The sequence below is a fragment of the Homo sapiens genome, chromosome 9, assembly GCF_000001405.40.
Source record: "Homo sapiens chromosome 9, GRCh38.p14 Primary Assembly".
Taxonomy (NCBI): Eukaryota; Metazoa; Chordata; class Mammalia; order Primates; family Hominidae; genus Homo; species Homo sapiens.
Window position 1 is genome coordinate 116230896 of NC_000009.12, and position 24890 is coordinate 116255785.

General features: G+C 40.6%; 1 protein-coding gene across 3 annotated transcripts in view; it reads left to right on the top strand.

Moving 5' to 3' along the window:
- PAPPA (pappalysin 1) overlaps window positions 1-24890 on the top strand; it is a 248531-nt gene that overhangs the window by 77105 nt on the left and 146536 nt on the right. For all 3 annotated transcript variants that reach the window (NM_002581.5, XM_017014784.3, XM_006717129.4), the window contains one exon: window positions 4244-4742. In NM_002581.5, coding sequence (NP_002572.2) covers window positions 4244-4742 — 499 coding nt within the window. The remainder of the gene's footprint in view (window positions 1-4243; window positions 4743-24890) is intronic.

A 24890-nucleotide genomic window follows, 5' to 3' on the forward strand; every position in this document is an offset into this window, starting at 1 on the left:
TCCCAAGTGTTGGGTTTTCCATGAGAGATTAGCACATGGCACTAACTGTTTTTATTTTTTCTCATTTGTGTGTTTTCTCTATTTTTCTGCCCAGAATATTTCAGGTGTGCTTAACTATTCACCTGGAAAAAAGCTTGGCACCAAGTTTTTATAACTATATTTGTGTCAACAGCTGCAGTGTATATATATATAGATATATAACGGGTGCCTGTATAGTGCTTCACAAAAGTAAATATAGATCAGCATGATTATGTATAAATATATGTCTATACACATATATGACCTTATTTCTAGTGGACAGTTTATATAAACATGTAATTTTTAATTTAATCACTGTATATACAAAAGGATATCTATTAATAATGAAGTAACAGGGCTTTTACACTTAGTTCTCTTTTCTTCTTTGTTTATTCTTTTCTCCCCTTCCACCTTTCCTCCTCCCCCTTCCTTATCTTCTTCCTTCCCTTCTCGCTTTGTTTCTTTTCTTCAGCTCCTGTCCTTACCTTCCGACTACATGTCCAATCAATCTCCCAGCTGTGTTCACTTTTCCTCCTTAGGAATTCTGACTTGCCATCTCCTTGCATGCTTTCTTGCAGTTCATATATTGTCTGCGTTAGTCCAATACTCTCCTAACTAGTCTTGCAAGACTAAAAGCTCCCTGAGAACAGAGATCATGTTGGCAAGCTTATTCTCTTGGAGCCTAGCCTACCTCTGGACACACCTGGCACTGAATAGTTACTCTTTGAATGCATGGAATGAATGGGCGGATGGATGGATGGATGGATGGATGGATGGATGGATGGATGGATGGATGGATGGATGGATAGTGTCTGTGTCTCTAAACAGTGGTTTTTCTTTTCTTTTCTTTTTCTTTTTTTTTTTTGAGATGGAGTTTCACTATTGTTGCCCAGGCTGGAGTGCAGTGGCGTAATCTCGGCTCACTGCAACCTCAGCCTCACGGGTTCAAGTAACTCTCCTGCCTCAGCCTCCTGAGCAGCTGGGGTTACAGGCACGTGCCACCACACCGAGGTAATTTTGTATTTTTAATAGAGATGACCATGTAGGTCAGGCTGGTCTCGAACTCCTGACCTCAAGTGATCTGCCTGCCTAGGCCTCCCAAAGTGCTGGGATTACAGGCATGAGCCACCGCACCTGGCCAACAGTGGTTTTTCTAAAAGGCGACCCTGATGTCACTCATTTGCTTAAAATTTCTCAGTAGCTCTTCGTCTATTTCAGTGTAAAGTTCAGTTTCCTCCTTAATGTAGTATACAAGCCACTTCACAATCTTGGTTCTACTTAGCTTACCAGCCTCAGCATTTGTTGCTCTACAATTGCACTTGAAAACCATAGTAACCTTAACTTACACTCTCTCCCAACTATTCTCATGCTTGGAATACCTCCTCTTACCAATATTTTCCTTGTTAATACGTCCCTACTTTCCAGGACAGAGCTAATATATTTATGGGAATCTATTAATGATCTCATCCTATTTGAGGTTTACAGCAACCTTGAGGTAGGTAACATTACAGTAGGTAACACAATGAGAAACCCTATAACTGATATTTTAACCCAACTTTCATTCCTTCAAAGCCTGGCACGCTGCCTGGACCAACAATATCATATTCTACTCCCTGCCAGGGAATTTCTGAACCATCTGAGTCTCAGTTTCCTCTTCTGTAAAATGAATTTCATAAGACCTGCGTCACAGACTTAGTGCCAACGTAAAAAGACCTGAGGCGTGTAATGTGCTTGGCACAGTGCCTGCACATTGAGGATGGTCAACTCGTGAAGGCTGGCATTATTAATGAGGTTGCTGCTTTGGTTATGGTTACACTTGGTGCCTCTAGGGACTCTTTTTTACATCTAAGGGTTTGTCTCTAATAACCAGACAACCACAAGCTTTGCTAAGATTTCTACTCCTGTTTACTTGCTTGAGCATAATGACCAGACTCACCTTCCTGTCCTTTGGAAGTATTTGGTCCCTCTGTTGATTAACAAGAAACTAGGGAGGAAGGATGAGCCAGGCAGATTTGTCATCTTTGCTCTCCTGTGGCTTCCCACCCCTGACAGTCATTTTCTCCAAGGAAGGGAGGAAGATTACATCATCCCTTGCCAGTTGCAGGAGAAAGCCCATGGAGGGGTGGAATGTTCACCTGGCACCCACCATCAGGAAGCATGCTTTAATGTTCTATGCTGTAACTTTTAACTCAATGTTAACAGGCTAGAAGGTTAACAAATATTTATTTAGCATCTGCTATGTGAATACTCTATGGACTAGGCACACTGTATTAAGCAAAAGCTACATGGCGTTGAGCGAAGCAGTGCTCTTTAATAGAGACAAAATGACAACGATCTTACAGGATTTTGATGACAATCAGATGAGTTAACTAATAACTAGGAGATGTGTTTCATATACTGTAAAGTGCTGCCTTCAATGAAGTTGACTGAATGAATAAGTGATACATGTGTGTCAACATCCCACAAAGTTAAGAAAGTCAGGAACTCAGTGTGTGGGAAAGTAGACAAGAAGAAAGGCTTCAGCTAGGTGGGGAGTCCTACTTGTGTTTTACACCCTAAACTAAAGGTTGCTTTGAGCCAGCAGTTACTGCAAATAATGAATGAAACTAGCCAAGGAGAGATAGAGGAAATCTTGTAATTAAATCCATCTTTTCTTGCTGTGATGCATTATATCTAAGAAGCCTCTGTGTATTTTCTCACCCCTCCTTCTCTTTTCCTCTTCTCTTCTCCATCTCCACTTGGTGGCTTCTTTCTTTCCTTGGCTAAGCAGAGGCAAGGAGGTTAGAGGCATTTACAGCCTTCACTGGCATAGTTTTTTCACTCCAAATAACTTTCTAGTATTGACATTATAGTGATTCCTGTTACCCTGTAACATTACCACAAAGCGTTTTTAAGCAAAGATCTTTTTTTTTTCTTATTTGCTTCAGAAATGTCTAGGGTCACCACCACCCTCCCAACCAACCACTGAGGCTGAAGAAAAAAAAAGAATGTGGCTAGGTGGGCATGGGGACACATGCCTATATTCAGCTACTCAGGAGGCTGAGGCAGGGGAATTTGAGCCTGCAATGAGCTACAATCAGACCATTCCACTGCAGCCTAGGCAACAGAGCAGGACTCTGTCTCTTAATTTTTTTTTAAGGTGTCTAGTTGGGCAACTTGAGGTCCTTCATCTTACCATCCGGTCTGTCTCTCTCATGAGGCTCCCTTAAACAAATTAGAGCCAATCACTACATTGAGTCCTGGTTATTTTCCTCAGTAGTGCAAGGAAGAGCTCTCTGGGAGTCTAGATGTGATCTCAGCAGAGAAAAATTCAGAAGTCGCTGCAGGCTGAGATCAGTGGGGATGAGGCATCATCTCCCTAGGGAAAGAGGAGAAGAAACCCTCCTTCCTTCTCCCCGCTCCTCACCCAACCCTCCCCTTCCTGAGTGAGACAGAACAGAGTGCGGAGAAGCTCAGTGGTATGGAATGACTGCATGTAGAGAAGGGGAGGAGGAGAGATAAGAGGGCTCCAAGGCTGCCTTCCAGCTCTGTTGTTCATGGTTCTAGACAGTTTCCTCCCAGGTCCTCAGTCTGCAGGGTGGATGCTATTTATGCTCACCTATTCTTTGCTGGTCGGGGGGTGGGGTTAGGATTTCTGTCAGTCCAAGTAGGTTTTACCAATGGCAGTAATACCACAAGGATTCTAATTTATTCTACTGTCCCCTGCATCCAATAGGGAGAACAGCAAAGAATACAGATTCCAAAATGAAACAAAACTCGGTTCCAATGCTGGCTTTTACACTTCAAGTTGTATGAACCTGATCGATTCACTCTATATTTGGGAGCCTTAGTTTTATCACCTCCTAAATAAGTCCTTGCAAGAATTAAAGTTCAGGGGACACAGTGGGTGTTTAGCCAATATGTACCCTTTACTTCTTTTCATCTTAGGCAGCACAGCCTCCTAAGTGGAAGATGAGGAAGGAAAGTTTGAACATTGACTCGGTAGTGAGATGAAAGCAGTTTGACTGAATGTCTGGTGATTCCTCTGAAATCTGTATTGCAGGGGTGGGGATGAGATGGATGCTGTGTGTATAGCAGATTCACCAAGGCACCAAGAACCTTCCTCTCCTTTTCCCCTCTGTCTAAGTTCTAGTCAGACCAATTTCTCCTGGGGTCCACAGGAAACTCTAAGGATGGGAATAAAGCTCTTTCCCCAAGAACTCATTCCCTCATCTCTTCTGCATAGGTCATCCTGATGTTGAACAGCCCTGTAAGTCCAGTGTCCGCACCTGGAGCCCAAATTCAGCTGTCAACCCACACACGGTTCCTCCAGCCTGCCCTGAGCCTCAAGGCTGCTACCTCGAGCTGGAGTTCCTCTACCCCTTGGTCCCTGAGTCTCTGACCATTTGGGTGACCTTTGTCTCCACTGACTGGGACTCTAGTGGAGCTGTCAATGACATCAAACTGTTGGCTGTCAGTGGGAAGAACATCTCCCTGGGTCCTCAGAATGTCTTCTGTGATGTCCCACTGACCATCAGACTCTGGGACGTGGGCGAGGAGGTGTATGGCATCCAAATCTACACGCTGGATGAGCACCTGGAGATCGATGCTGCCATGTTGACCTCCACTGCAGACACCCCACTCTGTCTACAGTGTAAGCCCCTGAAGTATAAGGTGGTCCGGGACCCTCCTCTCCAGATGGATGTGGCCTCCATCCTACATCTCAATAGGAAATTCGTAGACATGTAAGTGCATTCTCTGAATAGGGAGTTTATTAAGTGGGTGGGTTGTGGAGGAACGTGAGGTGGGTCAGAGAGGCCTGGACAGGGGGAAGGTTCATCACAGTCAAGACTCACTCTATGGATTGTAACCCATCATTGGGTGTAGATTTGTCTTAACATGGCAGAGTTGATATCATGGGAAGAGCAATAGGGAAGGAACCATTAGACCTGGATTTAGTGACAAATCTGATGTGTGACCTTAAGCCTCATAAGCCTTTCTTAATCTTAGTCATTCCAATAGTAAATGAAGGAGGTTGGATGAGAGTAGCAGTGAGAAAATCATTTATTACTAATGAAAGTAGAAGAACTGAAGTTTGCTAATGATTTTCTTTTTATATTAAATTGAAGACAATTTATGCATTTTGATTGCTTTTTCAGTGGGTGAATCGGGGGTGAAGTTATAGTAGATTGGGTGGGGGTTGGGCACAGTCCTAGGTATTTGCACAAAAATTGTGCTGGAAAGTGAATATCAACTTTAACAGCACTTGTTTTTGTCTTATTTCCTGAGGCAGAACAGTGGTTCAAACCCATTTGATCCTTAGGGCCTTTGCAGCTTTAGGTTTCCGTAACTCTTTCTGGATGCTCACTGCTCTTATGTGAAGTAGTACTTGTCTTTCATACTCACTTCCCGGCCAGGGAGGTGGCTCACTCCTGTAATCTCAGCACTTTGGGAGGCCGAGGCAGGCGGGTCACCTGAGGTCAGGAGTTTAAGACCAGCCTGGCTAACATGGTGAAACCCCGTCTCTACTAATAATACAAAAAAATTAGCTGGGTGTGGTGATGAACACCTGTAATCCCAGCTACTCAGGAGGCTGAGGCAGGAGAATCTCTTGAATCCAGGAGGCGGGGTTGCAGTGAACCGAGATCATGCCATTGCACTCCAGCCTCGGCCACAAGAGTGAAACTCCATCTCAAAAAAAAAAAAAAAAAAAATTACTCACTTCTCAAGCCACCTCTCTATTACTTCTTCCCCAAACATCCTCAGAATTTCTGTCTTAGGAGGAAGACCATCTTATAATGAAGCCATTAGTGCTTTTCCTGTGTACTAGAAAATGGGCTAAGGTCTTTGCATCTTTTACTCATTCCATCCTCTCCACAACCATAGCCCTATTATTCTTATTTTACAAAGAAGAAAACTGGGGCTTAGAGATGTGAAGTCACTTGTCCAAGATCACACAGTTAGGAAGCGGTGAAGGTAAGGATTGGAATTTCGTTCTGACTCCTAAGCCACTGCACTCAACTGGTGCTCAATTAAAGATGTGATTCCAACTTCTGTTTTAATCTACAAAAAGGATAGAGTCTTCGCCATCTAACTTGGGTGTCAATGGTTTCTATAGGCCTTTTGTGGCTCTTTATTTGGTTCTAAAATGATGTAAGACAATCTCTGCTCTGTCTACTTGAAAATATTCACTAAGCCAATCATTAATGGGAACCAAGTTCTAGAGGAAACTTTTAATCTTTTTAAAGGGCAGAACCACTTTCAAACACTTTACCAGCACTTCCTTTTACATACTAGCAATTAATGTGCACATCACAGGCAAACTCTTGCTAATTCATTGAATCAGAGATGAGGAACAGCTGTTTAAGAACTCAGAAAGAGCACTTGGTTTGTGTTTGAGAATGTACTTAAAATTTAAAGGATAGTCTTGCCTTAAAAATATTCCATAACCCTGTCTCTTCCATCTCCTCACTTGTCTAGAGTGGTAGAGTTCTATAAATATGCTTCCACTTAAACTTTCTTTATAAAACAATGGAGGGAAGAAATAATAGATGTTTTAAAATCTCAGTTTAAACTCAGCTTTCCTTTTTTTGCCTCGAGTTACGAGCCTATGAGAGCTGCCATGGGTTGATAAGTTTGAAATGGTGAAAATTAAACTGAATAAATGAAAGAACCCTTAGTGATTTAGCTTAGTTCTATTCTCAGCAAAATCTCAGCTAAATCACTAACTGGCTCTACCCTCTTAGGTGAGTCACTTGTCCTTTCTAGTCTTCCGATGCCTCAACTTTGCATGCAGGAGGTTGCACTGGATTAATTCTTCTCTCTCTCTTTTTTTTTTTTTCTTTCCAAGACAGTCTTGCACTCTTGCCCAGGTTGGAGTGCAGTGGTGTGATCTTGGCTCGCTGCAACCTCCACCCCCCAGGTATAAGCAATTCTCCTGCCTCAGCCTCCTGAGTAGCTGGGATTACAGGCACGCACCACCACGCTGGGCTAATTTTTGTGTTTTTAGTAGAGACGGGGTTTTGCCAGGTTGGCCAGGCTGGTCTGAGAACTCCTGACCTCATGATCTGCCTACCTCAGCCTCCCAAAGTGCTGGGATTACAGGCATGAGCCACTGCACCTGGCTAGTTCTTCTCAATTTGGATTGCACATTTAAAAACTGGGACATTTAAAAATTGCCTGGGTCTCACTTGTATCCCATCTCCACTCTCCCCCGAGATATTTATTTAATGGTTAAGAATAAGGCCTGACCATTAGAACTTTTAAAATCTCATAAGGTGATTATAATTTGCAACAAGTTTAAACAAGTTTAAAAACCAGTGCACTTAAACAAGTTCTCAAAGTGTGGCCCCAGACCAATGGCATCAGTATCACCTGGGAACTGAGAAAGGCCAGGCTCTCAGGCCCCAGTCCAGCCTAGTGAATCAGAAACTCTGAGTGCAGGGCCTCTCCAGGTAATTTGGATGCTAGTTAAAGTTTAATAGCCACTGCTCTAAATTATCTCCAAGGCCAGGAATCTCCAAATTCTCTTTCACTCATGCAACTACTTGCTCAACTCACAAATATGTAATGAGAACATTCTATATGCCAGATTCTGTACTGGAAACAGTATTAGGATGACTCAGACCAGTCCCTTTCTTGAAGGCACTCAAACTTAAGTGCTGAGCTCCTACCCACTTTGTAAAAGTGCCACGTACTGTGCCAAATCATCAGTAGTGAGGTCGACACTCTTATGCACAATTTGTTCTTTCATTCACTCTCCAAATATTTCTTTAGTCCCTACTATGTGTCAAGCACAAGGGCTAGACTGAGGCTTTCATCGGCCTTCCTCTTCGAATCTTTTGTGTTTCAAGGAGTTTATTGGAGATCTGGGCTGGGATGGGCTGGGCTTCCTGACCTGAATGTTCTCTGAGACTGAAAAAAGAGAAACACATCCTTCCAAATCAACCTACCATTTCAACTCCTTTATCTCTTGGTAATTTGAGTCCTGAACCCCACCACAAATACCTCTTTGTGTGTATATGTGTGTGTATGTGTATTTTGCTGCTTTCACATTTTTTCCATATCAAATAAATTGGCTCTTATACAAGTTCTATATAAAGACTGTTTTGGAGAAAAAGAGGAGAGGGAAAAAATGCTTTCTTTTTCTTTCCTGACTCAACCCATTACATGATTCCCTTTGACCTTTGTCTTCATTTTTTTTCTCTCAACAAAAATATTTATTCTTTCTGTTATCTACACTGGAGATAGTTTCCCAAGGTATGACAGTGATGAAGAGAGAGCCTTCTGTGCTTACCCCATGGAAACTTCTAGTAGACTGATTACTTTTGGCCAGGACCAGAAAGAAATGTGGAACATCTCCATCTCCCTTAAGTGGAAACCCCTCTATCGAATGAGAAATGACACTATCAGAAGAAAGGGTACCAGTGCCAACTCTGCTACAAACTCACCATATGACACAAAGACACACCGCATCACCTATTTGGACCTCAGTTTCCATATCTGTACAATGAGAGGCCAACACATTAAGCCCTTCTCTATGGGTAGACATAGAGAAGGTGTCTGGGGTAACAGGTGATTCACATACTTTTTTGTAGTAAAAGGAATTCAATAGGGATTATCTGTAAGAATCAGTACCCAGAGGAAACCTCACTGGCTCTGTATGCCCTACTGAAATGTGGACCACAATAATGACAACCATTTACTAAGTATTTCCTCTGCTTTAAGTGCCTTACAAACACTTCTGAGGTAGGTGAAAAAGCTTAAATTCAGAGAGTAATTAAACTAACCTCATACAGCTAGTAATGACATAGACAGGCCTCAAACTTAAGTCTAATTCCAAATTCCACCTTCCTAACCACTACCCATACTACTTCCTACTACAATAATGTAAAGGCAGAATTTTAGAGCTGAGAAATGCATCCAATCTGGCCAAAGCTCTAAATATAGCAAGGGGAAGACAGGCTTACAAGTCAGAGGCCACTAGTCCACAATCAGTCCCTGTGGCCCACCCTTGATGTCTTGGTGTCCAATAACACAAATTACACAGACAGTTCTTTATGCTTCTGGCTGGGAAGAAATAGCAGGGAAGCATCTTTTTCTCCACTTGGCTGTCAAGTGCTTCTACACTGAGCACTGTGCTCCTTGGCCTATATGGAATCTTCAGATTTCTCCAAGAAGTAAATACTCTGGACAAAACTGAGAAAGCAAAGTATAAAGCAAACCAGGAACAGTGAACAGTAGCTCACTCTCATCTACTTATTGGTCTGTCTCATTCATCCATCACTTCATGCAACAAATATTCACTGGGTATCTATTAGGTGCTATGCACTATTTTAAGAAATGGTGATCCAGTGGTGCTGAAAACTCAAGGTGCTCACAGTCTATGGGAAAAGAGAGGGACAGGCAAGCAGTGTCATTGCAGTATAATAATATTCTGATGGAAGAAACAGAAACACAGAGTCAGAGGTTTCTAACCCAAACTTGGATGAATTGAAGTCTAAACTTAGAACTAGAATATAAACTCCCCGAGGGCTAGATTTTTTTCCTGTTTTTCTCCTGGTGCATTCCAAGCACGTAGAACAATTATAGACACAAGGTAAGCACTGAGAAAATGTTCTTTAAATGGTTCTGGAATGAAGAATGAGAAGGAATTTAGCATTTGAAGAGAAATGGAGAAGCCAAAATGTAGTAAGCTTGTACTATGTGTCAAGCACTAACTAGGGACTTTACATAGATAATCTCATTTGATCTAATCATCCCAACAACCCCACAATGTAGGTGGTCCTATCCCCAGATTATATATAGGGACTGGAAACTCAGAGAAGGAATGTGGATTATAGTTTACAGCTATCAAGGGGCAAAGCTGGGGTCTGTAAGTAGATCTGTCAACTCCAAAGCTAATGCTCTTGATCATTCATTCTCTGATTGAACAAGTATGTTTGTTTATGCCTCTGTCTTCTTAGGATCCTCAGTTGAGAGCTAGAAATATTCTTAAAAGTCATCTCTCTCAACTGGCTTATTTGTGTATCCCAATTTAGTCATCTATTAATTCTTCTCTCACATTCAGACCTGTAAAGCTTCCAACACAATCTATATCTATTTTATCTCACCTCCTTGGCATTCTCAATATAATTCTTTGGGGAAATGAATAGACATAAGGAAAGGAGATGTTTATATGATCTGGGTGGACATTCTTGTGAGTCCAAATTTTACAAATCAGATCCAAATTTTTGCCTCTGAACTCCAAATGCTTTGAATACCCATCAATTAGAAACTTTAGTGCATTCATTAATTCACTTGCTCAGCAAGTATTTGTTGACTTCCAACATGAGCTTAACTACTTTCTAACCTCTAGGGATTCAATAATGAATACAGCAAGAAAAACTTTTTGTTTCATTGATTATTATCCTGTAGTTGGGAGAGATAAAAGAAGCATGTTATTATATAATATCCCAGTTGGAAAAGATTTAGTGATTTTTAGATAGGTGGTCAGGAAAGTCCTCTCTGATGAGATGACATTTGAACAGAAACCAGAAGTGTCCCCCAGTAACTTATAATGAAAGCTAGCTGAGCTGCCATCCCTGGGATCCCAGCCTGTTTGGAATATGAATTTCTTATAACATGATCCTTAGTCCTTGATCACAGTTTGTGTTGTATTATATTTAACAGTGCTTGTGGTTTTTCCTTCACCTGGTTCATATTCTTAAGTACAAAATTTATGACACTTAAATGACACAATAGGGGCTCCATGGATACTTGTTGATCATGTGAAGAATAAGTCAGCAGTAGCACAAAGTGGGCTCTAAGAAGATGCGTCTCTTGCTTTCAGATCTTAGTTATAACATTGATATGTAATGTCATATTAAGCCTCAGAGGATTTGGAAAGTTTACCCCAAATCAGGGTCAGGTGAAGGCACAGGTGGCTCTTACATGCTGTTTCTATGGCTCTTGAGCTGAGTCACCACTTTCTTTCTTCCTTTTTTTTTCCTAAGCCTCATTTCTTTTTATAGCTCTTTCCGTTTCTCACCTTGTCATCCATCCTTTGTTCTTGTATGTATTAATTTATTCATTCATTCATCCATCAACTAGTGAAAATCTAATATAATCCATGTTAAGTAATACTTGTCCCATTTAACAAATATTTATTAAATATCTATTCTGTGCTACGAATGCAGCCCTGATTAATACAGACATGATCTCTGGCCTCATGAGCACATGGTTCTAAATGAAAAATATTATACTGCAGCATGAAAAGTGTTATGGTGTGAGGAGCACGGGGGGCAGGGGGGCTGTGAGAAAACATGGGAAGGGTGTCTAACTGAGCTTGAATAGGTAAGGAGGGCTTCTTGGAAGAAGTGACATGTAAGCTGAGACTTGAAGGATGCATAACAGCTGATCATTGAAGAAGTTCACCACAGTTCAAATGGTTGAAACTAAGTGGATGTTCAGCCAAGATTGATAAATGAATGAAAGAATAAATGAAGGGAGGAAGGAACAAGCATACTGCATGTCAGAAGGGCATACTCAACCACAGATCAAATGTACAGCTTTGAGATGGAAATTGTATTAATTTGGGATATCTATCTACTTCAATTCTTAGATATACTTCAATCTTTTTAGCTGCTGTACAGTATCCCACAGTATGAATGTGCTGCAGGTAATTTAGCCATACCCTTAATGGTGGGCATTTAGGTCACTTCACACATTTTTCTGCTGCAAGCAAATGTTGCAGTGAGCATTCTCGTACAAACATCCTTGCAGGCACATACATGCAAGCATTTTGCTAGGGTGAATACTGAGAAATTGCCGGTGATAAGCTATGGGCCTTTTTCATTTTAATGGACACAACTATGACATTCTGGGCAGGTGAACTAGCTTCCACCCCACTAGCAGTGTGTGCCAAGACCTGCTATTTTGTATCATGACTGCTTATTATTTGGCATAATGAAAGTGTTTTTTCTTTGCACTTTTTTACCCACTTTGATGGGAAAAATATGACTTCTCATTGACATTTCTGTTATGTGCTCTTAAGTAAGCATCTACTCAAATACATTTACTGGATAATTGCATTTCCTGTTCTATGACTTGTCTATTCATATCCTTAAGATGGGCCTCATCTTTAATCTCCTTCACACCTCTATTTCTCATTCGTTAAATTGGGATTTCAATGTCAGCCCTATTGCATGTCCATTAATGTTATCAGAATCCAGGGTGAAATAGGAAGTTAAGAGGGAAATAGCATTTATGCAGAAGTTACTCTGATTCTTCTTTTATGTATTGATATATTTATCAAATGCTGATTTAGTACAATCCCTGTGCTAAGAACCATGACACATTCTGAAGATACAATAGGTAACAAAAACCAGCCCGGTTTCTGCTCTCAGCAGGGCTTAAATTTAGTCACTGTGTTAACCATCTTCACATTGCTAATATGATTTGTAGCATTTACTACTGGTAGCACTAACATTACTGCTAACAATAACTACCATCTAGTGAAAACTTCATATATGCTCAGTACTTTTTTATAAGTCTACCAATGGTGTTTAGGTATTAGCATGCCTGACTTCTTAGATGGAGAAGCTCAGACTATAAGAGATAAGGTCATTGATTTAAGGTCCCCCAGTTAATAGATGCTAAAGCCAAGTTTTATATCCCTTTGCCTGACCCCAAAGGGTGTGCCTGGCAAGATACAGAGCACAGTCATTGTCATAATGACTGACAAAGGACAAGATGGTATCTTGATCGATGGAGAAAATGAATACTAAAATTAGATCTTCTTATTTCCAAAAGCAATAGAATAAACACCAAAGAGAGGAGAAAGCAAAATTTTTTTATTGTTTTTTTGAACATTTAAGCAGATGAGGAGGAGGAGGCTTAGGAAGTGTGGACATGGCCAAACCAGCATGATTTCCAGTAACCTGTTGCTGAAATGCATGATTCAGGCTGGACCCCTTCCTGAGCAGGGCCTTCTCCCACGCCTGCCCAGCATGGTTTTGCCTACATTCTGATGTCCCACCCACCAGAAGAGATGAGCAGCATCAGTATAGAGAGTTGTTTTTCCAAGCCCAGAATGAATACCACTGCTCTTAGCTCAGGCCAGGGGAGCACATAGTCAGCACAATCTCACTCTGGTTCTGGAAACCAGGCATTATCCACCTATGACTCCCTCTCATCAGTCTTGGCCAAGTATTTCTCAGAATGAAATATGGGTTCTGGGAATATTAGGATAAGCAAAAGGGCTTAACAAAATCAACTGATCTCCAGGGTCATTAACAGCCATAGAAGTGCTATCTCCAAGTGCCTTCTCAATTTTGAAAGGGTGAAGGGCTCCTGTTTGGTGCTAATACCACCAAAATTGCTTATATAAACTTTTATAGATTACTCTAATGCACTACTAAACTTTGTAGTAAGTGAACCATTATAGGTTCTCTTCTACAGATGGGCAAACTGAGACCCATAGAAGTTAAAAATTGAACCGATAGTTCCATTGATAAATTTATTCATTTGTTTGTTTCTACATTTATTCACTCGTGCATTTAATAGGAGTGCCTACTGCATGTCAATCTTTGTACTGGGAGTGTAACTCTGAATCTTATAATCTGGTAGGAGAGCTGAATAATAGTACACACAAAATTATAATTACAAACTGAAGAGTATTATTTCAAGAGGTTATAATAGAGTATACATCCCCCTTAAATTAAGAGAGAGTCTGTAGAAGATGAGTAAAGAGATAAGAAGGAGCCAGACTATTATAAAAAGATAAAAAATAACAGATGTTGGTAAGGGTGTGGAGAAAAGGGAACCCTTATACACTTCTGATGAAAATGTAAATTAGTACAACCTCTATGGAAAAGAGCATGGAGATTTTTCAAAGAACTACAAATAGAACTACTGTTTGATCCAGCAATCCCACTCCTGGGTATCTACCCAAAAGAAGATAAATCATTAGAAAGATACCTGCACCCATATGTTTATCACAGCACTGTTCACAATTGCAAAGATATGGAATCAACCTAAGCATCCATCAATGGATGATGGGATAAAGAAAACGAGGTATATGTACACAATGGAATGTTACTCAGCCATTAAAAGGAGTGGAATCTTGTCGTTTGAAGCAGCATGGGTGGCACTGGAGGCTATTATCTTAAGTAAAACATCTCAGACATAGACAAATACCTCATATTCTCACTTAGAAGTGGGAGCTAAATAATGTGTACACATAGACATAGAGTATGGAGTGACAGACAATATGGACACTCAGAAGGGTGGGGGAATGGAAGGGGGTGGATGATGGGCAATTACTTAAGGGGCACAATGTACATTATTCAGACCGTAGATACCCCCCAAACCCTGAATTCACTCTGCCATCTATGCATGTAATAAAATTATATTTGTACCCCATAAATTTATACAAATAAAAAAAGAAGGGGCCAGATTATGAAGAGTTTGTGGCTCATGTTGAGTTTAGATTTATTCATTATGAAATAGAGGGACTAAACCAATCAGGTCTGAGATTTTACAATACTGCCCTGGTATTCTGTGAAGAAAGGATTGAGGAAGGGTGAGTGAATCCATTTAGGGTTGACTGCTGAAGTCCAAACCAAAGATGATGATTATTTGCATAGAAAAGTGAATGAATTGGAGGTATGTTTTAAAGGTAGAACCAACAGGACTTGGTGATAGATTGGATTCAAGCAGTTTAGTAAGAAGTAGCTGTTTAATGATTCTCCAACTTCTGGTTTGAATATCTGGAATGAGGGAAACGTTATTTCCTGAAATAGAGGAATATATTTTAATTTATTGTTTTGTTGGGCATGGGGTAGATCAAGAGTTCAGTCTTAGACATATTGTGTTTGAGACTCCCATGAGTCGTAAGAGAGGAAATGCTAAGAAGGCTGTTAAACACGTAGGACTGAAATTGCTCATGGCTGAACTGGAACTATTGCCACCCATGTCTACTTACAACATGGTAAGAAACCTCTCCGCAAAGTAACAGAATCTTTTTCCATAACCATAAAATTACTATCTCATCCACCATATTTTCTATCCCACTTATCTTTCAGAATCATTAAAAATAATCTGCTCAATCCTGATGCCATCCAAATAGAAAGAAAGCAATATTCTATATGGAAAATTGTGTGTAGTTAACATAACCCTTCCTGGTTTAGAATGATTTTAAAAGGCTTTGAGAAGGTGTTTTAAATGTGTATTTGAATGAATTATCCAAAATGCATTAGGCCTGTTCCCCATATAATGATAGGAAAAATGTAATAGGTCTTTACAATGGACCTGACACACTTCCCATTAATATATAATCTCAAACAGATATCCTAATGTCCTCAACAGATTTTTCCCCCATTCTATAAAAGATGCTCAGATAAACTATGTAACGGGCCCACATACACCCAGCTGGTAAAATAATGGGTTTGATGACTCTAAGCTAGGACTATTTGTGTTATTATACAAGTGTAATAATTATATCCATCATTTATTGGCTATGTACAAGGCATTGTGCTAAGTGCTTTAAAAAATTTTTCTTATTTAATCCTTTTAAAAAATTCTTTGAGCTTTTATTATTAGTTCCACTTTACAGCTGAGAAAACTAATGTTTAAGGACATTAAGAAACTTCCCTCTGGAAGAGTTAGAGGTGAGATTCTTAGCCACTTCAACCTTGTGCCTCTTATAAACATGCATGAATAAACTTGAGTGGAAAGAAACTTCCTGGCATGCAAGACTATTGGTTAGAATTGAGATGTTTCTCCTCAGAAATGATCAGAGTCTAGACATTGAAGTCAAGTTTGCTAAAAAGCAAGGTTATAGATAGAAAAGAAAATGAAGGCCAAATGCGGTGGCTCATGCCTGTAATCCCAACAATTTGGGAGGCTGAGGTGGGAGGACTGCTTGAGCCAAAGAGTTCAAGACCAGCCTGGACAGCATAGAAAGACCCCATCTTGACAAAATAACAATAATAATAATTTAGTCAGGTATAGTGATGTGCACCTGTGGTTCCAGTTACTCAGGAGGGTGAGGGAGGAGGATCACTTGAGGCTGGGAGGGAAAGGCTGCAGTGGTGAGCCATGATTGTACCACTGCACTCCAGCTTGGGCAACAGAGTGAGACCCTGTCTCCAAGAATAAAAAAAAGAGAGAGAGAAAATAAATGTTGTTACCTTGGGGAAGGAGATGATGGGTCTTGATCATCCAGCTGCACCACATTGATAGAGGAAATGTGTCTATATCTCTCAGCAGAAAAACAAACAGAGCAATTGTTATATGTCCAAATATTTCTATAGATGTCTATGGATTAATAGTTTCATGACATATTAATATCAATTCTGAGAGGGAAAAAGAGGTCTGTGTGTATGCAAGGAATGCTAGTTTCAACTCTATTCAGGAGGTCTTGTTCTGCAGAACTTCACAGAACATGCTACTTTTCCTTTTAATTGTGAGGCTCCCAGAGGTTGCTGAAATGCTTTATGTAGTCTATTCTGACATTGTTTGAAAAAGGTACCCTGTTTTCTTATCACATATCATATGACTAGCGTTACTGAGGAAGCTCCTTTGGAAAATGATGAGTTAGTGAAATCAGGTTGCAATGTGTGTCCTGGTGTCACCTACTACTTTGTTATTTTCTGTTCACTCTGGGGGTAGGTAGGATGGACTAGACTTGGTTGTGCTGCTCCAATTCCTGATTTTTAAGAAAACAAATAAATGAAGAGGAAAGAGAAGGAAAATAACAGCTGTCAGAGCAATTACAGATGTGAGAAGAATGGAGGAATTTATCTCACACTGGGCATTGGCAAGAGGAATGGACAAAATCTATTCAGTCTGTGCTTGGAGACACTGAGAATCATGAGGGCAGGTCTTGGTGGGTTTATGTTGTGTCTGTTAAAACACAACCTCAGACACCACTTTAGAGATGCTGAATTTGGAATCAAGAGATCTGACTCCCACACCAGCACCAGCCTTGCTGTGGAACAGCTTTCTTCCATTGTTTAAGCTTAAGTTCCTTCCCTTGGACAAAGTGGGTGACTGTCCATATAGTCTAACAAGGAGTGGTGGGAAAAACTGATAAGATAATAGACTTGCAAGAACATGATGCAATCTAGTGAACTGTAAAGATTTAAATGTTCATGATTCTTTCTATTGTTTGATTTTTCACTACGCTTGTTCTTGGCCAGAGCCATGATAGAGAGTATGTGTAAAAGGCAAACACTCTGACACATACAGACACACACACATCAAGCAGTTTCCCGTAAACTCTACCAGGAGTTGCTATGCTTCAGTGTTGGGTTAGAAGAAGGAAAAGATAAATTGTACTTTAACCTTTGTAACTGAGCTAAAGAAAAAATAAGAGAGAAAACACACCATGTGCTGGCCCTGGATCAGGAGACCTGGATTCTAGTACTGGTATCCTGAAATTTTGTTGTGTCCTTGATCAGGTGGGTCCCCAACTGTGGGCCCAAGACCCCTGTCTATAAAATAAAGGGGTAGGTCATAGCTCTGAAATTCTGTTCAGATTATCCTTTAGCTCTCACCTGCACTCAGTGCATCTAATTAAGTAAAGACGGAGGCAGCAGGTTACATGTCATGTTGTTAGTAAGTCTGAACTTTGAGTTTGGGGGCTGGCCATCTAGATCTAAAGAAAGCCTCCAGGCACAGTGGGACTCTCAGGACTCCACCTAGACCCAGCCTCTCTCTTAGGACTTACAAAGCTCTTCCTTTGAGACAATTTCAAAATGTTTTGGTGCATTTTTCCTGGATGGCATTTTAACTTGACACTGAGATATTAGAGGTGGGGGCTGTGTAATATCTGCCATGTTATTCTCTACCCCTAGCTTCTTGTGCAAGGCCAGACATCATGTAGATGGTCAATAAATACAGATAAATAAATGCATGCATGCATGAATAAATGGATCAGTAAACCCTGTGGTACATCAATAAGTGGTCAGAAAATCATGATAATACACATCATATCTGGTATATTGAAGGTCTTTCTTTTAACTTCTAAGGTGGATTAGTTACTAGAGGATTGAAAGGACAAATGAGAATCTTACAGCATGGTCACTGCTCCTCTTGGGGCCTCAGCTCTCTTATCCTTAAAGCAAAGGCATTGGGCCAGAAGGTGTAATTCTGTGTTTCATTCATTCAACAGGCAATTATTTAGCACTGTCTGTGTAACAGGTCCTATAGTAGGCAGTGAAGATAAACCAGTCAGTAAGGGACATACTAGCCTTTCAGGAGCTTAGTCTACTTAATGTGAAAGTAAACACATAAACAAGTGATATCTAACAGTGCAAAAGCTATTATGTAAAGGGAAGCACATGGGCTAAGAGCTCCTCACTCAGCTTCACAGGTTAGTGAGAATCTCCTGAAAGAGGCAGCAACTAAGCCAAGGCAAGAAAATTTAGCCAGGGAAGGAAAGTGAGACTGCTTGCTCAGGGTGGTGGCTGAGGGTAAAATTTCAAGAAGAGAGTTTGAGCAAAGAGGCCAGAGAAGTTGACAGGGGTTAGATCATGATGATCCCAGAGTTCATTGCTGTAAGGTCTGGACTTCATCCTGAGAGTGGTGATGAGCCATTGAGTGTCTGTAAGGTAAGAGAAGATCTTCATTAGATTTGGTTTTAGGACATCTTTTTGGCTGTGTGTGTATGTCTGGATAGAAGTAAGGATGGAGGCATAGATCAAAATGGTAAACGAGGAAAAGCAATGTTGCCAAAACTGAAGTAGATGATGGCACTTGTCTATGGTGGTCAAGTGGAAATGCAGAGCACCGGGTGGGGCTGAGGGATATTAATGGGATAAAATACTTGGAAAACTAATCAAAAGGAGGAGGCAGGTGAGTGTGTTATGAAAGATGCCTGTGTTACTGGCATCACTGAAACACACAATGAATGCAGCTATAGAGGCATATTTGGGTTGGGATGAAACAAGGAGAAGGAGTTCAAAAGTGCCTTCCAGTTGCTGGCCTGTGAATCAGAGGCAGGCATACAGGGCAGTTCACCTTCAGCCACAACATTTCTTTCCTATGCAGAGATGCAGGAGCAATTGAGGCATACATATGCATGTTTGTATGCATGTGTGTGTGTGCATGTACATGCATGCATGAGTACCTGCATATGTGTGTGTGTGTGTGTGTGTGTGTGTGTGTGTGTGTGTTTGGAGCAGGCAAACAAAGACCTGTGAGACCACCTGTTTTCATCATCTGCTGATTCTCAAAGTGTAGTCCAATGTTCTAAAGAGGTCCCATGGGGTATCGGGGGTTAATCTTCCATAGAACTAATACCTATAACGTTACAAGGCTCAGGCTTTGTTTTCTACCCAGGATTAATCATTCACTCATGGGCTTTAATACAAGCCAGACACAACCTCACTGTGCAAAGCAATGCCAGCTCCCCTTCCATTCTGATGCTAGCTTTTACATTCTTGTTGTCAGAGTGGGAACTAGGTTTTTGCCCCAGTTTCAGAATCCTATGAAGTGAAAAGTTTAGAAACTTCCATCCAAGGATGTTAGTCAAAAATGCCAGGACAGCTGGACTCAGCCATTAATTTGCCATATGACTTGCGGCCATTTATTTCCCATATCTGGGCTTTAGTATCCATCCCACAATGAGAAACTTGGAGTAAGTGATATTCAAAGTCATCCAGCTCTGATTTCTACATATTTGTGTTTCCTTCTTGAGCTAAGCTCTGTGTATACGAAGTCAGTCTCCAAAAATTTTAAGCAGAGAATTTTGAGATGCTTGAACTTCTTACTGTCTGGGAATTAGACTGAAAAACTCTCAGACCAGGAAAGATTATTGAAGATCATCTATGCCAGGACTGACACTTGACATATGAGAGAATTGAGCTGAAAGAGGAAGCCACTTCTTCAGAGTCACACAGCCATTCAATGGCAGAACAGAGAATTGAACTTAGCGCTCCTAATTCCCAGTCCAGGTGTTTCTTCCCCTATGTAACAGAGTGTTGGACATTGGCCAGACCTTGGGACTCACATTTGAACTCAGCTCCCTCTGATCATAGAGAAGTCTCCCTTGTTTGCTGGGAATGAAATCTTAGAGAGCTGACATAGTAACGTCATGGCAGCTGGTGCCGGTGATGGGGTTGGTATAGGAAATGAGAGAACACATTTGGCTAAGCTCAGGGTTCATGTGACCCTCCAAGAGTCTTAATTTCAAAACAAACTCAACCTTTTAGGTTCAAGTTCTCTCTCTCATCAGAAATGTGACTTCCTGCTTCTAAGAAGCAAGGCTTACAAAAGAGCTCAGAAGACTTCGTGGACATCAAATAGCTCTTACAAAATAGCGTTTTGATGAGTTAAGTGTAAATGAATCAGAAACATAAGGATTACATTTTCCCCAAGTGCACATGGGTTTCAGAATTGAGGGGAAATGTAGTTTGCTAACTGCACGCTGGTTTTCATGGAACTCAAGCCACTCCTGGGAAGGGTAAGGGGAGAGAAGAAAGAGAAGCCCAGTCCCCAAATGGTTTTAGATGTGGTGCCAAATTCGAAAATGCTGTTGGGTTTGCCCTCTGCCAGTAATAAAATTGCTGGCCACCCAGAGAGGCCACAGGGAGGAGAAAGGAGATGGCTTTCCTTACTGGCCCCTAGTCCTCCACAACTGTGTTCAGTTAGTGCCGCTCAATCACCAGCTGTCACTGGGGCCCTCCGTTGGACTCCCTGGCCCTGACTTGGCCTCGATTTTCACACTCTGCAGCATGCCTGTTTACCTCCAACTGTATCTGGTGTTTTGGCTCCCAGAGTCCTTGGTGACTGGTCAGCTTGTCACAAGCCCCTGCTCTGTAATCAAGTGACCTGTCCATCACCAGTAGAATGTTTGGGGAAGCTGTCACACATCGCCTTTGGTTGCATTCAGGAAAAAAACAAGAGTTCTTTGTAGATCTTTTCCTCTCTCCCTTCTTTAATGCTATCCAGGTGTGGAGTTTCCTCCAAACTGTTAAATGTCTTCCCTTCAAATCTCAGTCTGACACAAATTACCAGTTAAATCTCAGGACCGCTGTTACCTCGTCCCGGGATTCGAAGCTCTGGATCTTTTATAATTTCCACATTGTCCCTCCATTCTTTCCCTTCTATTTTGTTTTATTGCACCAAGAAAGTAGAAAATCATTTCAATTGGTGGTAAAAGATGATTAAAACAAAATAACAAAGGCCTTGGCTGCAAACTGTTAGTTTTATTAAATTGGCTACTGTGTTTTAAATTAGTACCAGGGCAAATCTTTGGACAATTATATCAAAGATTGCTGGAATTAATCAGTCACATGTACACAATTGCTCCTTTCAGAGCCTTGTACAGAGTAAGGATGTCGTTGCCAGTAGGAAAAGAATGAGTTTTGCATTACCTGTGTGAGAGGGATGGACCCTAGCCCCATTGAGAAGGAATCCAAATGCCCAATGGAGTCTCAGATCTCTGTCATCTCATTTTTCATTTATTTAATCCAGACAATGGGTTGGAGCTCACAGTGACCACCAGGAGAAATAAGAAAATGGATGTTACAGGGCAAAAGGCCATTTTCCCAAAGATTTTTTCTTGGCACTGAGTCCTCAGCATGACAGCTTTGCTTTAATAAGGGGGCACCTGAAGTGGAAGGGCTGCAGTCTACTGAGTAGCTGGGTCCAGAAAGAGGGAAGATGGGTGTGGTGGGATCCCAGGCTATACAAAGACTGGAGGCAGATTCAGTATCTCAACTACCCTTAGCACATCTAAGTTCTGACTTCTACAGCTGGAGATAGGCTGGAGGCTTGGAGAATTATTGCATTCAGTTCCTTGCGTTTACAACAGTGATTCTCCGTCACTTGATGATTCAAGCCCCAACATCTCACCTCAGAGCCTCCTGCCATCTACTGCTCACTCCACCCAACCATTTTAGCGAAACGTTTCCACTTCCTTTGGTATACCGTGAATTTCAGTCTAAATGAACTGTTCTTAATCTAGAAAAATTTACCTCTGTCTTGTTTTATGCTGTTTCTACTGCTCAGAGCACTATACTTATCACTCACATTTTTTGATATGTGTGCTTTCTCAAACTATTAATTCATTCAACAGATATTGCTGAGAACTTATTCTGTGCTAGGCACTGCACCAGGCACAGAGATACAGCAAGGAAGGGCTAATATTCTCTGTCCTTGAAGCACTTAACATACACCAAGGTAGTCAGGCATTCAACATGTGATTGCAAAATGTGTGCTCACTTTTGTAATAAAGTATGGGACACTAAGGATACCTGTGGAAGGAAACCAACATAACCCAGCTATCAAAAAAAAAAGCCTCCCTAAGCCTTTCTCGTTCTTTAAACCACTATTTGGTCTTCCTCTGCTAGCACTCTCCAAACTCTACTTTGTGTTACAATCACACTCTACTTGGTTTATCCTCTCTTTTGCCCTTTGAACTGTTTGAAACCAATGGCAGTATCTTCTTCATCTTTGAGTCCTCCATTTTGACTGAGCTTCATACATTTTTTTAAAAAATTGAACAATAAAAGTGATGTCCAGAGAAAAATAGCTGATTGGGCCACAATCACAACAAAAACTAATAAAACAGTAGCCATTTTTTTCTGATACTTGGTCCACAGTCAGTATGTTAAACTATCTTTCAAAACATTTCTTCCCAAGGGCATACAATACTTTCTGTCTCAGATCCTTACCAACCACCCCTCACCACCAATAAAAAGTGAGACCAAAGTACCTCTCAGTCAACAGAAATAAAAGGTTTCCTTAAAAATTCAGAGTAATACTCAGACAAAATTGGAATTAAGGCATACATAGTCATCACTCAGTGGAAAAAACTGTGTGTATATAACTTTAATATGTGAATATTAAGAAATAAATTCTTTTGAGAAGACTAATCACAGCTCCAACGCCATTCAGTAAAGAAGGACATTTTGTAAGTTTTAGTTATTGTTAAATAAAATAGAATATAAAAATATCTAGCATACTACCAAAATTTTCTAGGTACTCAATTTATTCCATCCTACAGGGAATATTTGGTCTCTTTGCCTTCAGGTACTGCCTTTTCAACTTTCCTTCCAAACTCATTATCTATACTGCTACCTAAATGGTCTTCCACCAAACAAGTATGATGATGTCATTTGCTGGGAAAGCCAGTCCTTTCCTCTTTCTCCTGATGACTTCTGACTTTCTCCAGTCAAGCCAGTATACCTCCTTGGGAAATTTTCTCACTCCCTCCCCATCATCAAGGGTAAGAAACCAACCCTCTGTGCTCCTACAGCCCCTACATTTTTTAGGCTGTTTTAAAGCCTCAATTTTAATGTTGTCTCTTCCTTGCCATCCAATGAGCATCCTAAAAGCAGGACCATAATGTGTTCATCTTTGCATCCCAGAAACCAGTGAAGGCTATTTCGTTGGATAAGTGTAAGCATACCTAAAACAATACAAATATATTTATTCAGAAATTTTAAAAAATAATCAAACCATAAATATAATCAGCTAGCATTAAGCTACTATCTGGGTTTACTTGTCAGTCTTTCTTCATGAACACTAAATATGAAATGATATTACAAATTTGTGATCTTATATTTATACAAAATAATGTGTGTATGTGTGTTTACACGTAGAAAGATACTGAAAGGGCCGGGCGCGGTGGCTCACACCTGTAATCCCAGCACTTTGGGAGGCCAGGGTGGGCGGATCACAAGGTCAGGAGATCGAGACCATCCCGGCTAATACGGTGAAACCCCATCTCTACTAAAAATACAAAAAATTAGCCGGGCGTGGTGGTGGGCGCCTGTAATCCCAGCTACTCAGGAAGCTGAGGCAGGAGAATGGCGTGAACCTGGGAGGCGGAGCTTGCAGTGAGCCAAGACTGCACCACTGCACTCCAGCCTGGGTGACAGAGCAAGACTCCGTCTCAAAAAAAAAAAAAAAAAAAAAGAGAGAAAGAAAGACACTGAAAGGATCCTGACCAAAACGTTCCTGGTAGCTGTCTCAGGATAATGGAATTTGAGATTATTCTACTTTAATTCTTTCATATAGCCTTCTAATTTGCTATAATAAGCATGGATGATTTTTATTTTGGGGAGAAAAAAGCAATTGAGATTATATACTGTCACTTCCCAGTCTTTTTTTAAAAGTCAGCTTCCATTCTAAAGATATGTTTGCGTTGAAACGATTGTTCTCTACCTTTCTACATTTAAAAAATATATAATATAATATACTCTGAGTTTCACCTTCCTAAAATACTTTAGAACCATAAAGGGAAGCTTGTTTTATCTTCAAATAGTTTTTGTGGTCTGTATTTTACTGGATATTACTATATGGCTCACTAGGGTGTGCCCATCCAAAAAGTCAGCTCAATGTCTTGGAAAGATAAAGGGTTCTAGAGTCAAACAGCATGGTTTAAATCTTGTTTTATAATTGTTACATCTCTGACATTGAGCAGATGACTGAACTACATTGAATCGCAACTAAAAAATTCAAATAATTTCTGCCTTTCAGGTTTATATTAGAAATAGTATGGAAAATTTGGTAAAGTAACTAAACTAAAAACTTTTCCAATATGAGCATCCATTGGATATTCTAGATAAAATATTACAGATATAACTAGCATCCTTTAAAATGCCTGATTGAGATTAGAAAAACAGAAAAGGATATTTCCAGGGGCAAGACATGCAAGAAATAAAATAGAACTGGGAACTAAACAGGTAAACCCTGGATCTAAATTTGTGGTTGGTATAGTTTGGATAAGGGAGAGCCATCAGTTTTGGCAATTGAGTGGCTTGAATATTCTTGTTCACCCCAGGAGAGATGTGGCTTTGCAACTCTGCAAGGTAGTGTATTGGGACTAACACTTTTAAAATAAGGATTTTAAATGAGATTTTCAGGACCCCTGAAACGACCCCTGAAAATCTACATGT